General features: G+C 38.2%; 1 long non-coding RNA gene and 1 pseudogene across 1 annotated transcript in view; one reads left to right on the forward strand and one right to left on the reverse strand.

Moving 5' to 3' along the window:
* Positions 1 to 8,392: 8,392 nt before the first annotated feature.
* The window catches only part of LOC107986606 (uncharacterized), a 179,493-nt gene continuing 174,864 nt past the window's right edge, over positions 8,393 to 13,021 (reverse strand). The window contains exon 3 of the long non-coding RNA XR_001744176.3: positions 8,393 to 11,282. This is a non-coding gene — a long non-coding RNA (uncharacterized LOC107986606). The remainder of the gene's footprint in view (positions 11,283 to 13,021) is intronic.
* RPSAP44 (ribosomal protein SA pseudogene 44) lies at positions 10,581 to 11,577 on the forward strand (annotated as a pseudogene).

Here is a 13,021-nt window from a genome sequence, read left to right on the forward strand (position 1 = left end):
TTCACTGAATAAGTGTTGAAAAATTATATACCAGGAATAAAAAGCCTGGAATACCTGGTGAATTCGTGTCTCAGCTAATTTGGTGTAACTTTAAGAGGACACAAGCAGATAAACAAATAAAAAGAAATAATGTCTTTAGGCAAGAAAAATACTCTTCAGTTCTTTACAGCCTTGACTGCTCTTGTTTACATAATACTCAGCCTTTTCACAAATTTGTTACCTAATTTGCTCTGAAATATGTGAATTTATAATTCTGACTAAAAACAAACATCATGGTTGATTAAAATGAAATATGATGCATGCTATTATCAAATGAACTACATGAAAGAACAGCTCATTATGACCTAATGGGTTTCATTCCAAGAATGTATACTGTAGTTCAAAATTGGAAATTGTACTGATAAAATGCATTTGCACTGTCTTTATAAGGGAAGAAAATTATTTCAATAGCCCTCAAAAAACTTTTGATAAAGTTTAACACCTAAAAAAAAAACTAAATAAACCCATGATTAAAATACAAATAAAAAGATGCATGCCATGGGTTGGGGGGGCCAGGGCCAAGACAGCTGACTAGAAGCAGCACCGTTTCGAGGCTTCCACCGAAAAAAACCATAATAAGCATGTGAAGCCTTCACCGGCAGCCAGGGTATCCAGATTCTCTCATCAAAATTGACTAGAAGGCTGGTGTGACCCACAGAGAGAAGGAAGAACAATGTGGTGTGGCAACCCACCTGAGAGCGACACAGGGAAGGGGAACCCCTCCCGACAGCCAAGGGAGGCAGTGACTGAGCACACTACCCAGCCAGGGAAACCGTGCTTTTTCCACAGAACTGTGCAACCGATGGATCAGAAGATCCCACTCACAAACCCACACCAACAGGGCCTGGAATCCCAATCCCAGAATGTCCACATTCTTACTGACTCTCAGCTGGAATCTGCTTAAGCCTACCAAACTCCCCAGGGGGAGGGGTGACCAGCACCTGCTGCCCCTGTCTGCTGTCTAAGCCTTTTGAGCTCCTTGTGGGAGGGACAGCAGCCAGCACTGGGACTAGCAACTGCCTGACACACTAAGCTTCCTGGGCAGGGGAAGGTTGGCACCCATTTCTGTAACTCTAGGCTGCACTTTCCCAATGCTGGAGCCAGGGAGGCTGGACTGCTTGGTCCCAAGACTTTTCCCCACAGCTCAACGCACTGGCTGTGGCAGTCTGCAGCCAGAGTGCCTCTTCAGGTCTAACCCTGACCCATCCTTCCTCAGTGGGTGGGGCTTCCCTGAAGGATCTCCAATAACTCCAACCAGAGGCTCAGAGAGAGAATTCAGATCTCCTTGGGCCTGAGCCCATTGGGGAGGGGTGGCCACAGTCTCTGCAGACCAGCAGACTTAGCCTCTCCTCCTGGTATTTCTGAGAAATCCAGGCAGCCCAGAGGAGTGGTTTTGCCCCAAGCAAAACACACTCTCTTCACCAAGGGACAAAGTGGTTCGTTAAATGGGTCCTGCTCTTCATGCCACCCAACTGAGTGAGACCCCCAACAGGGATAGTCAGACACTCTCTACAGGAGCAATCCTACTGGCATTAGGTTGGTGCCCCTTGAGGTCAGAGGTCTCAGAAGAAGTAGCAGGTACCCATCTTTGCTGTTCTCTAGCCTCCTTTAGTGACATCTCCAGGCACGGGAGCAAATCAGATGAATAAGACCTGAAGTGAACCCCCAGCAAACTGCAGCAGGCCTACAGAAGAGGGACCTAATGAAAGAAAAACAGACAAGCAGAAAGCATCAGCAACAGCAAAAACATCAACAACAACAAAAGCCCCCACAAAAACCCCATCCAAGGGTCAGCAGCTTCAAAGACCGAAACTAGACAAACTCATGAAGACAAGAAAGAATCAATGAAAAAATGCTGAAAACCCAAAAGGCCAGAGTGCCTGTTCTCCTCCATATGATCACCATGTCTCATCATTGAGGGCACAGAATGGAACGGAGAATTAGACGAGTTGACAGAAGCAGGCTTCAGGAGATGGGTAATAAAAAACTATGATGAGCTAAAGGAGCATGTACTAACTCAATGCAAAGAAGCTAAGAACATTGATAAAAGGTTAGATGAATTGCTAACTAGAATAACCAGTTTAGAGAGGAATATAAACGATCTGACGGAGCTGAAAAACACAGCATGAGAACCTTGTGAAGCCAAATCGACAAAGTGGAAGAAAGGATATCAGAGTTTGAAAACCACCTTACTGAAATAAGACATGCAGACAAGAACAGAGAAAAAAAGAATGAAAAGGAATGAACAAAGCCTCCAAGAAATATGGGACTTAATAAAAAGACTGAACCTATGATTGATTGGAGTGCCAGAAGGAGACAGGGAGAATGAACAAGCTGGAAAACACAGTTCAGGATATTATCCAGGAGAACTTTCCCAACCTAGCAAGGCAGGCCAACATGCAAATTCAGGAAATACAGAGAACACCATTAAGATACTCCACGAGGAGATCAACCCCAAGACACATAATCGTCAGATTCTCCAAGGTAGAAATGAAGGAAAACCTGTTAAGGGCAGCCAGAGAGAAAAGCCAGGTCACCTACAAAGGGAAGCCCATCAGGCTAACAGCAGACCTCTCACCAGAAGCTCTACAAGCTGGAAGAGATTGGGGACCAATATTCAACATTCTTAAATCAAATAATTTTCAACCCAGAATCTGAAGTTTGAAGACACTTTGAAAGACACTTTTAAGAAAGTGAAAGGCAAGCCACAAACTGGGTGAAAATATTGCCAAATATATATATATCCAGCAAAAGACTTGCATTTAAAATATATAAATAATTCTTACAATCCAGTAAGAAAAACATATTAACTTTGAAAATGGACAGAAGATTTGATGGGCCTTTTGTAAAGTATAATTTTAAAATGACTAAGAAAACAAGAAAATGAGCTCAGTACACAGTAGTTTTTAAAATGCAAGTTAAAAGCGGAATTAGATACTGCTATTCATCTACCAGAACGAGTAAAAGAACTAACGATATCAGATATTGGCAGGAATTTGAAGGAACTGGTATTCTTTTCTATTGCTGGTGGATTTATAAAATGATACACCAACTTTGCCACACAGTTTGGCAGTGCTTTAGAAAGTCAAACATATAGGTACTATATGATCTTGCAATTCCACTCATGGCCATTTATCTAAAAGAAATGTTCACAAAAAGACTCATGCCTGGACGTTCATAGCAGCTTTATTTATAATAGTCAAATTCTGGGGAAAACCTAAATGTCTATCAACAAGAATATGCAAACTGTTATATATTCGTATGGAATTCCTCAGCAATATATAAAGGAACAAACCACTGATACATGCAAAAACATGGGTGAGTCTCAAAAATATCATGTTGAGAAAAAAGTCAGATGCAAAAGAGTACATTCTGTATAATTCCATTTATAAAAAGTTCTGGTTTGCATAAAACTAATATATAGTGGTAAAAATCAGATAATCAGTTCTTTGGGGATGGTGATTAGAGTGGATTAATTGGAAAGAGCTATGAGAGAACATTTTAGGGTGATGAAAGTATTCGAGATGAGAATTGGGTTAGTGATTACACAGGTGTGTATACATTTGCCTTGGAATTTCAGTTGGGAGTTAGATGGCAGAAAGGTGGGCCTGACACTGCTGGGAAGATCGTGACTAGAAATAGTGGGTTTGTGCAAATATAGGTTCCATTGATTTACAGGTAATAGTAGAAAGTGAAGGAATAAATATTGCTGAAGCAAAACATAAAGAATGAGAACAGGGCCAAAGACAGAAGGCCCAGGAGCACCTCCATGTGAGAAGAAGGGGAAAAAAAATAGAGCCAGCAAACAAGAAAGAACCAAAGGTCAAGGAATTCTACTTCCCAAAGCGAGTAATCTTTCTTATCCCCTAGGATGAATCATTGTTTGAAGAATTTAAATTAGAATGCCTTTACTAAGTAACTTAGTAATCAGAACCATATTTGGCATGGAAAAAGAGCACAGGCCAGAACTCTGTTCTGCTTTTGTGATTCTGTATGAGCTATATCCAACATTTTTATCATAGTTAACAATCATCAGTAATTTGTTTCTGCTATTAGTAATTACAGCAGAAAAATCAGTGATGGAGATGTCACAGCTGGTGGGACAAGGGGATTCTTTTCCTGATGATTTTCTTCATCTGTCATGGAAAGAAGGATACAGAGTGATTCAGAAATAAATGGTGCTTTAAACATGATAAAGCTCTTTTTAAGTGTAGTAAAAAGTCATCTCACACAGGTGTCTCCATGAAGTTCTAATGAGTTCCATGAGAACAAAGAGAGTGTGCTTCATTCATCTTTGCCATCCTCTTAATAACTAGTATTGAAAACCTACTATGGGCCAGTGTTCTGATAGGTATTCAGCTAAAAAGATGAATAAAATGGTACCAAGTCTTCCATTGCTCCAAGTGTGAAAATCCAAAAACCCATCCAAATATGCCAGGACAATTTTTTACGATGGGAATAGTGCCAAAAATGTATAAAATATTGAGAAAATATTTCATTGTATATTCTTCTACACGACAATTTAGCCAGAAAGAAGACCCAAAATGATAAAAACCATTCTCTTCCTTCCTCTTATAGCAAAGAGATATATAAAAGTATTAGATTTGGTGAGATTTTCTTCTTGTTTGTATAGGTTGGAGAGGATTTCTAGAATTGTGGATGTCACATAAGATTTCATAAAGCAATTCTCAGTTATTCTATGCTTCAAAATAGAGCATGCAGTCATCACAAACTTAAGTAAATACCAAATTGTTGTTTCAGGAAAGATTTATTACTCTAGTTCACTGTAGCTGTTATTGTGACTTGTGATGCATAGCAGAGAAGTCTGCAGCCCAGTCCCCAGCAGACCATAATTGTTGCCTGTGCACCCATATGGGACATTAACATTAAGAAATAGCTCTGTCCTTCATAACACCTGCTATCATCTAATGATGAACATGCCACAGCAAAATTTTCCTTTACCAATACAACTTTATGAATTTTCATTGTTTTGAATTTTAATAAAAGATGCTTTTTTCACTGATTTTGAGCAAAATTTGTTCAATACTTTGGAATCTCTTGAATTGATCTTACAAATGAATTGCAGCAAACAACATGCATGCTAATTGATAATGTTGAGAAAATGACAATCAAAATGATTAAGTGAATAAAATGAAATTGTTTCATGTTTTTGTGATTAACATTTGACATATGTCAGTTGAGATATCTGATATATGTCAACAAAACAATCATTAGACTCCTCTCAGCAAAGTAATGCCACAAAGTACATCATGCTATTATAATTCTGCCAATGTATTCAGTGTGATTTCTAAATATAGAACACTCTATAGGGCACTTGCTGTTCAAATCACTATGTAGCTTCCTTTGGTTCTGTATCCAGAGGTCAACACATGGTGGAACGAAGAAACCCAGTTTCTAATTCCAAGCTTCCATTTACTCCCTGGGAAAGTCTATTTAGAACACACAAGTAGACTTTTCCCAAACTATGGCCCTAGCACATGCCCCACCGATTTCATATTTATCCTTGGGAAAGCCACATTATCCGTCTTTGTGATATTGCCTGTGTTAGTAACTGGAGTTCATAACTATTGTCAGTGTATGTGTATTAGTAAAGTAATTTGTTTGTTGCTGTGCGCAGGCAAGTTCAGCTCTTTGGGATGAATATGCTGCAAAGCTGTGTTCTATGGACAAGTATTTCTATTAATATACATTTTTCCAGTAATCCAATATGAAAAAATTAACACTATTTATTTGTATTCATGTTCCCAAACAGACTTGATTTTTGTAAGTGATATGGGGTTTAATCACAATGTAGGAGAAAAACCATCAAGTCTAATGTCAGAAGTCTGAATTCAGCCTCAATTCCACCAATTAGTTCTGTGAACTTTCATGAACTGTTAAGCAGTTTGGGCCTCATTTTCTTTATATATAGTAACTAAGTAATACTGTTAACCTTCTTATTTCTTTATTACATATTGGATTTTTTAAATGTAATATGGTATACAAAATTTTAGGAATTATTATTGCCATTGTTGCTTTCGTTGGTAATAGCAGTAGAAACTATTGATGGCAGAACACTGGTATTGAATGTTTTGTTTTGTCCAAATAAGACTATGCTGTTAAAAAATCTCAGCCTAGTTCTGTATAGAATATAACACTGAGGTAAATTAGATTTTAATATCACTGTTTCACAATCTTTTTGGGTCTTACCTATAGAATTAACAGTCCAGCCTGCTTGAAATGAAGCTTTTCAGCCTGAGAGAAATGATTATTACTCAAACTAAGGATTTTTTTTTTATCAGGAGTGAGTGTTCTACATTAGTTGCTGGATCTTTTCTCACCTAGGCTGAGAGATTACTGGCAGTGGTGTGAAACAGGTGGAGGAAGTGAAATGAGGGAGTAAAGTGGGTGCTCTTGGCTGTGCTTTGAATCAAATGTTCCTTAAAGTCTTTTAAAAAGCAGAGAGGAGCTGGTTTGCAGCTTGAGTTCTCTGCAGAACAAACTCTGAGTTGGAGTTTAACTAAAAGTTGTTTATCAAAGTATCCTTTGGATCAGTCTCTGTAGAACAGAGAGAGGAAAGCAGCATTGAACAGAGCAAGACATTGAGTTGTGATGCAGGCCTAATGAACTTAGGTTAAAAAAAAACTTATGATAAACTTATTATAAAAGAACACAGATGAGTTTGGGAGCCAATCCTATCAAGGTTTTAATACTGACTGCTTTTGCAGTCTCCCCTCTTGTGGTGGATTGGGTACTGGTTAATGATGTGAATTCTGCACTAAAGCCACCTTTCTTTGTCCACCTTCTAGCTGTGTGATTTAGTGAAGGCTAGCTTGCTTCTCTGGACTTCAATTTTCTCATCTGTAGAATAAAAGTAACCACCTGCACACATAGAGTGTGCCTCAGAGACCCCACAGAGAAGCTCTGGATTTAGAATGACCCTTCAGAGTGACAAGGATGTGGGCAGAGATGGCCCAGCCTCTGCATGCAAGGAGTGATCTGTCATTTAGAAGTGGACTGCCCTGGGAAAGGGTCTGACTTTTATTAAAGCAGTTGGCAGTATCCAACGCAATCGCTGGAGGGGCTGGCAGCTGAAGGCTCTCTACCAATGCACAACCATAGCAGGGGCAACAGGTGTCTTCCTGAGAGGTAGTCTAGGCACAGTGCATGGCCCACAACAAGCCCCTCCGAGCTGAAAACTTTCATAGCTGGAGGGAAGGCAAAGGAGAAGTAAAGGAGTGGGGAAAAAAGAAAATGAATGCTTATTTAATATTTGTTATGTTCCACACACTGGACTAGGCACTCTCTTGGTTATCCCATTTAATTCTTAAAACTCTCTCTGTGTGCAGGTGGTTACTTTTATTCTACAGATGAGAAAATTGAAGTACAGAAAGCAAGTTAGTCTTCACTAAATCACACAGCTAGAAGGTGGCCAAAGAAAGGTGACTTTAGGGCAGAATTCACATCATTAACCAGTACCCAATCCTGCCACAAGAGGGGAGACTGCAAAAGCAGTCAGTATTCAAGTCTGAACAGGATTGGCTCCCAAACTCATCTGTGTTCTTTTATCTTAATATAACCTAATGCCCTATCTGATCTATTTGACATGAAGATTATCATTGAATATTGAACAAATGTTTAATGGCCATCCAGCTCAACATGCATTCTAGAGTAGCTTTAGTGTTTTGTTTTGTTTTCTTATAGTAGTTGTTGTTTTTCTCTGTCTGTTTACAGTGCAGAGAATTTCTAAAAATGTGAAAACACTTATCAGAGAAATGTTGTATTGTGTTACAAATCAGGATAAATACCTTGGTTTTTTGAGTAATTCAAGCAAAATCTAATGGAAAAATGATGGAGAAGAGAGTTCATTCAAATACTCCCAGTCCAAAAGCCAATTAACATTGTTATCCTGATATTATTCACTGTTTAATACAGCAGAACAGTTTTATATTTCTGAGTGAAGTTATGTTTTGTGAAATGAAAAAGATTCTTATCAGTTAAATCAAATGAGTTCCAAATTGCAAGCTGCTGATATTATGGCTTTCATAATATGTCTTCAATAACACAAGGAAATAGGAGAGGCAAATATTTCCATGTGAAAATTGCAGTAATGTTCAGCAACTTGTAATAATTAACTCTCTCAAAATCTGGTGCTGTGCCAGATAAATTATTTCAAAACCACACTTTCTTTTTTCATTTATTTTATTTAAACTTATCATTTATCACGTTAATAAAGCATTTTCACTGAGGCTGTTCTTTAAAACACTAAAACAAAGATTATTAACCCAAATTGTCCAAATGATAGATTTTAAAACATGTCCTGAAAGCAGACAAAAATAAATAAAAATAAAAGCACCTCTTCAAGATTTTAATAAGGAAAAAAAAGGAATGTTCTCAATATTTCTACAGCAATTCTACAAACTTAGAAATAGGACAAAACCAGCACATTATCTAGGTAATAAAATGTAGCATCTTTACATTCATTGCATGAAATAGTGACATGCATTGATGTACAAAACACATGTGTTTCAAGGTAAGTCAACTCTGATTAATGAAAATGTAACTGAACTTGAAATTCAAAGTTAAGGGCTCTATACCAAGCTATGCCACTTACTAGTTATATGACCTGACTGGATAAGGCATCTCTCTAAACTCTAGGTTTTTTATTTTTAAAATGAGAATATAAAATAACTAATTCTTGTGGTGTTGGTAGTATAAATTTAGGCAATATATGTAAAATACACTTTATAAACATTCAACATTAAATCCTAATGCCTGTGTGATATTATGATTCATTTCCATCTGTGGTTCCTAGTTCGTAACTTTCATAATCATTGTCACAATCTTGGTTATAATGTTGGAGAAATTTAGGGCTCAGAAGCAAGCCTGAGGAAACAAAAGCTTTCTCTCTGAACTTCTGTCTTCCTTTTACCCACCCGAGATAGGACTATAGTCCAATTATAGGTCATAAAACCCTCATTCTAGAGAGGGTCCTGCCCCCTACTCCAGAGGAAGGAATGCTGTACAGAGAGATCAAGAAGAATCTGAATGGACAAGGCTTGCTGAGTTTAGGCCACATCCTTTTTGTCCAATCACATTTTGACATAGTTGTCCATGCTTTAATCATTGACAACCAATGAATTCTCCATAAAAGGCCCAAAGGATGGAGTTCCAGGAGCTTCTGGAGAGCTGAACACATTGAGCATGACAGGAAGGTGAAAAACTCTTTCACATGCCAGGAAGTTGGTGCACCCCAACTCTACAGGGACAGAAGCTGCTGCACTTACAAATCCTCCCAGACCTCACCCCATGTATCTCTTCATCTGGCTGTTTATTTGTATCTTGGAAAATATGCTTGATAGTAAGCCAGTAAATATGATTCCCTGAGTTCTGTGAGCTGCTCTAACAAATAAATCAATCTCAAAGATGGGATCGTGGGAGCGCCAACTTGAAGCCAATTGGTCAGAAGTTCCAGAGGCCTGGAATTGCGACTTCAGGGAAGGAGAGGATGATCTTATGGTGTTGAGTATTAACCTGTGGGATCTGACACTGTCTCTGGGTATATAGTATTGGTACTGAATAGGAGGACACCCAGCTGTTGTCCACTGCTTGTTGTATGGTTAAAAACCCCTCACTTTTGGTCAGAGAAGTCTTCTTCTGTGTTGATTATTATTGTGGTGGTGTGAGAGCAGAAGAAAAACCCATTTAAGAGAGTACTTCCCAAAGCACTGTGTATACAGTAAACTGTGGTCCAATGGGAAAATACAAATTAATATAGCCAATAACAGTGTATGAGAAGCTCTTTCTCCCAAAACTCTTGCCAACACAGTACATAGCCAAAAATCATCTTTTTATTTGATAGAAGTATGACATATTTTGTTTTAATTCATATTTCAATAATTTTGAGTGAAATTGGACAACTTTATACACCTTTAAAATATCTTTCTGTTATGAACTGCCTGCTCTTCACCTTTGCTGGATCGATGTATTTTACATATTAATTTATAAGAGCTCTTTAAAAAATAAGGACATTAATATATTTAATATGTCCGACAAATATTTTAGACATTTTTTTCTCTTCTCATTTGACATTATTATTGTCATGTAGTTATTTTATGTTTTATGGAGTCAAGCTTTCTTTATGACATCAAGCTTTCAACTATCACTTAGAAACAATTTCTCTTATTCTGTTTTTACAAAATATGTTCTACATTTCTGTCTAGTACTTTTATTGTTCCCCTTTTTAAACTTATATTATTGACAATATCAAGGATTGGCAAAGATTTTAAAAAACTGGTCTGCTCATATATTTCTGGTGGATTTATAAAATGGTACATCAACTTAGTAACACAGTCTGACAGTGCCTTATAAAGTGAAACACATACTTTCTAAGTGATCTAAAATTCCACTCCTGGTCATTTACCCAAGATAAATGAAAGCCTATGTTCACAAAAAGACTTATGCATGGATGTTCATAGCAGTTTTACTCATAATAGCCAAATCCTGGAAACAACCCAAATATCTATCAACTAGAGAATGGGCTTTTTTGTGCTACCCAGAGAGGGGTCCATATGGCGATGTTCTAGATTCCTGTTGTAACTTAAAGGGAAACTTTTACAGTGTACAGAGCCCTTGATGTCCTGCAAATGGAGGAGGAGGATGTCCTTAAGTTCCTTGCAGCAGGAATCCACTTAGGTGGCACCAACCTTGACTTCCAAATGAAACAATACATTTATAAAAAGAAATGTGACGGCGTCTATATCATAAATCTGAAGAGGACCTGGGAGAAGCTTCTGTTGGCAGCTTGTGCCATTGTTGCCATTGAAAACCCTGCTGATGTCCGCGTCATATCCTCCAGGAATACTGGCCAGAGGGCCATACTGAAGTTTGCTGCTGCCACTGGAGCCACTCCAATTGCTGGCCGCTTCACTCCTGGAATCTTCACTAACCAGATCCAGGCAACCTTCCAGGAGCCACAGCATCTTTTCTTTACTGATTCCAGGGCTGACCACTGCCTCTCACAGAGGCATCTTATGTTAACTTACATACCATTGCTCCACGTAATACAGATTCTCCGCTGTGCTATGTGGACATTGCCATCCCATGCAAGAAGGGAGCTCACTCAGTGGGTTTGATGTGGTGGATGCTGGCCTGGAAACTTCTGCACATGTGTGGCACCATTTCCTGTGAACACCTGTGGGAGGGGATGCCTGATCTCTTCTTCTACAGAGATCCTGAAGAGACTGAAAAAGAAGAGTAAGCTGCTGCTGAAAAGGCTCTGACCAAGGAGGAATTTCAGGGTGAATGGACTTCTCCATCTCCTGAGTTCACCGCTACTCAGCCTGAAGTTGCAGACTGGTATGAAGGCATGCAGGTGCCCTCTGTGCCTATTCAGCAGTTTCCTTCTGAAGCCTGGAGTGCTCAGCCTGCCACAGAAGACTGATGTGTGGCTCCCACCGCTCAGGCCACTGAACAGGTAGGAGCAACCACTGAATGGTCTTAAGCTGTACTTGCACCGGCTCTTAAGCAATATGGAAATAAACATTAATTTTTTTAAAAAAGAGAGAGAATGGATATGCAAACTGTGACACATTCACACAATGGAATTACTCAGCAGTATAAAGGAACAAAACGCTGTTATATGCAAGAACATGGGTGAATCTCAAAAACATGAGAGAAAAAAAGACACAAAGGAGTACCTCCTGTATAGTCCCATTTATATGAAATTCTGGGATGGGTAAAAACTAATATAAAGTGGTAAAAATCTGACTTCTGTTGACACCCAAGATAAAGGAAGCTCTCTATAGCCTTTCTCTCTCACCAATGGTCACCAAAAACTCTAGAGAGGATACAGAAAACAGCTACTTAAAGACTGAAGTAAGCCCAATGGGAAGGGAGTAAAATCTTGAAAACCAACTGGTATCATGGGGAATTTCCTGAATTCTTGTTTCCTCTTTTATCTTCTGGCTATGATGTGAGGGCAGGTGGGGTCCTAGAACTGTGCAGCCAGCATACAGAGTAAAAATGGGAATAAATACCTTGCATCAAGCAAAAATAAACAGCATGGCAGACATCTAAATATAAAGTACAGTTAGCCCTTGAATAATACTGGTTTGAACTGTGCTGGTCCACTAATATATGGATATTTTTTAATAAATATATTGAAATTTATTTTCAAGATTTGCAATAATTTAAGATAACTCACAGACAAACCATGTAGCCCAGAAACATAAAAAAAAGTGGTGTAAAAGTTAGGTATGTTATCAATGTGTAAAATATATGTAGGTACTAGCCTATTTTATTTACTATAAAATATACACAACTCCATGATAAAAAGTTAAAATGTATCAAAATTTACACAAACACAGACCATATATGGCACTATTTGCTGTTGAGAGAAATGTAAACATAAAAATGCAGTATACAATTATAACTGGATAAAATTACAGCACATACCATACTACTGTAATAATTTTATAGCTACCTCCTATTGCTATCGCAGTGAGCTCTAGTGTTGCGAGTTTCCACTTAAAATGCTGTGTGATGCTAGTCATCTCCACATGAGCAGTTTGTCTCTCCAATAAATTGTGTATCACACTAAAAAGTGATCTCTTGTGGTTCTTGTGTATTTTTCATGTTTACTGCAATACTGTAAACCTTGAATAACACCATGAGACCTATACAGAGTGTCACTAGTGATGCTAAAAGTGCTCCCAAGAAGCAGAGGAAAAGTTGTAATATTACAAGAAAAAGCTGAATTGCTTGATATGTACCACAGATTGAGGTCAACAGCTGCAGTTGTCCACCATTTCAAGGTAAGTGAATCCAGTGTAAAAACAATTGTTTAAAAAATTTTAATTTTAAAAAAAGGAAGTTTGTGAAACCATCCCTGCAGCTACACCAGCAGGTATGAAAACATAGCACTTTTTGTGAAATATATTTTATCTCGTATTGAAAATATAGCTTTTATGTGGGTGCAGGA

This window comes from Homo sapiens, chromosome 6, assembly GCF_000001405.40.
Source record: "Homo sapiens chromosome 6, GRCh38.p14 Primary Assembly".
Taxonomy (NCBI): domain Eukaryota; kingdom Metazoa; phylum Chordata; class Mammalia; order Primates; family Hominidae; genus Homo; species Homo sapiens.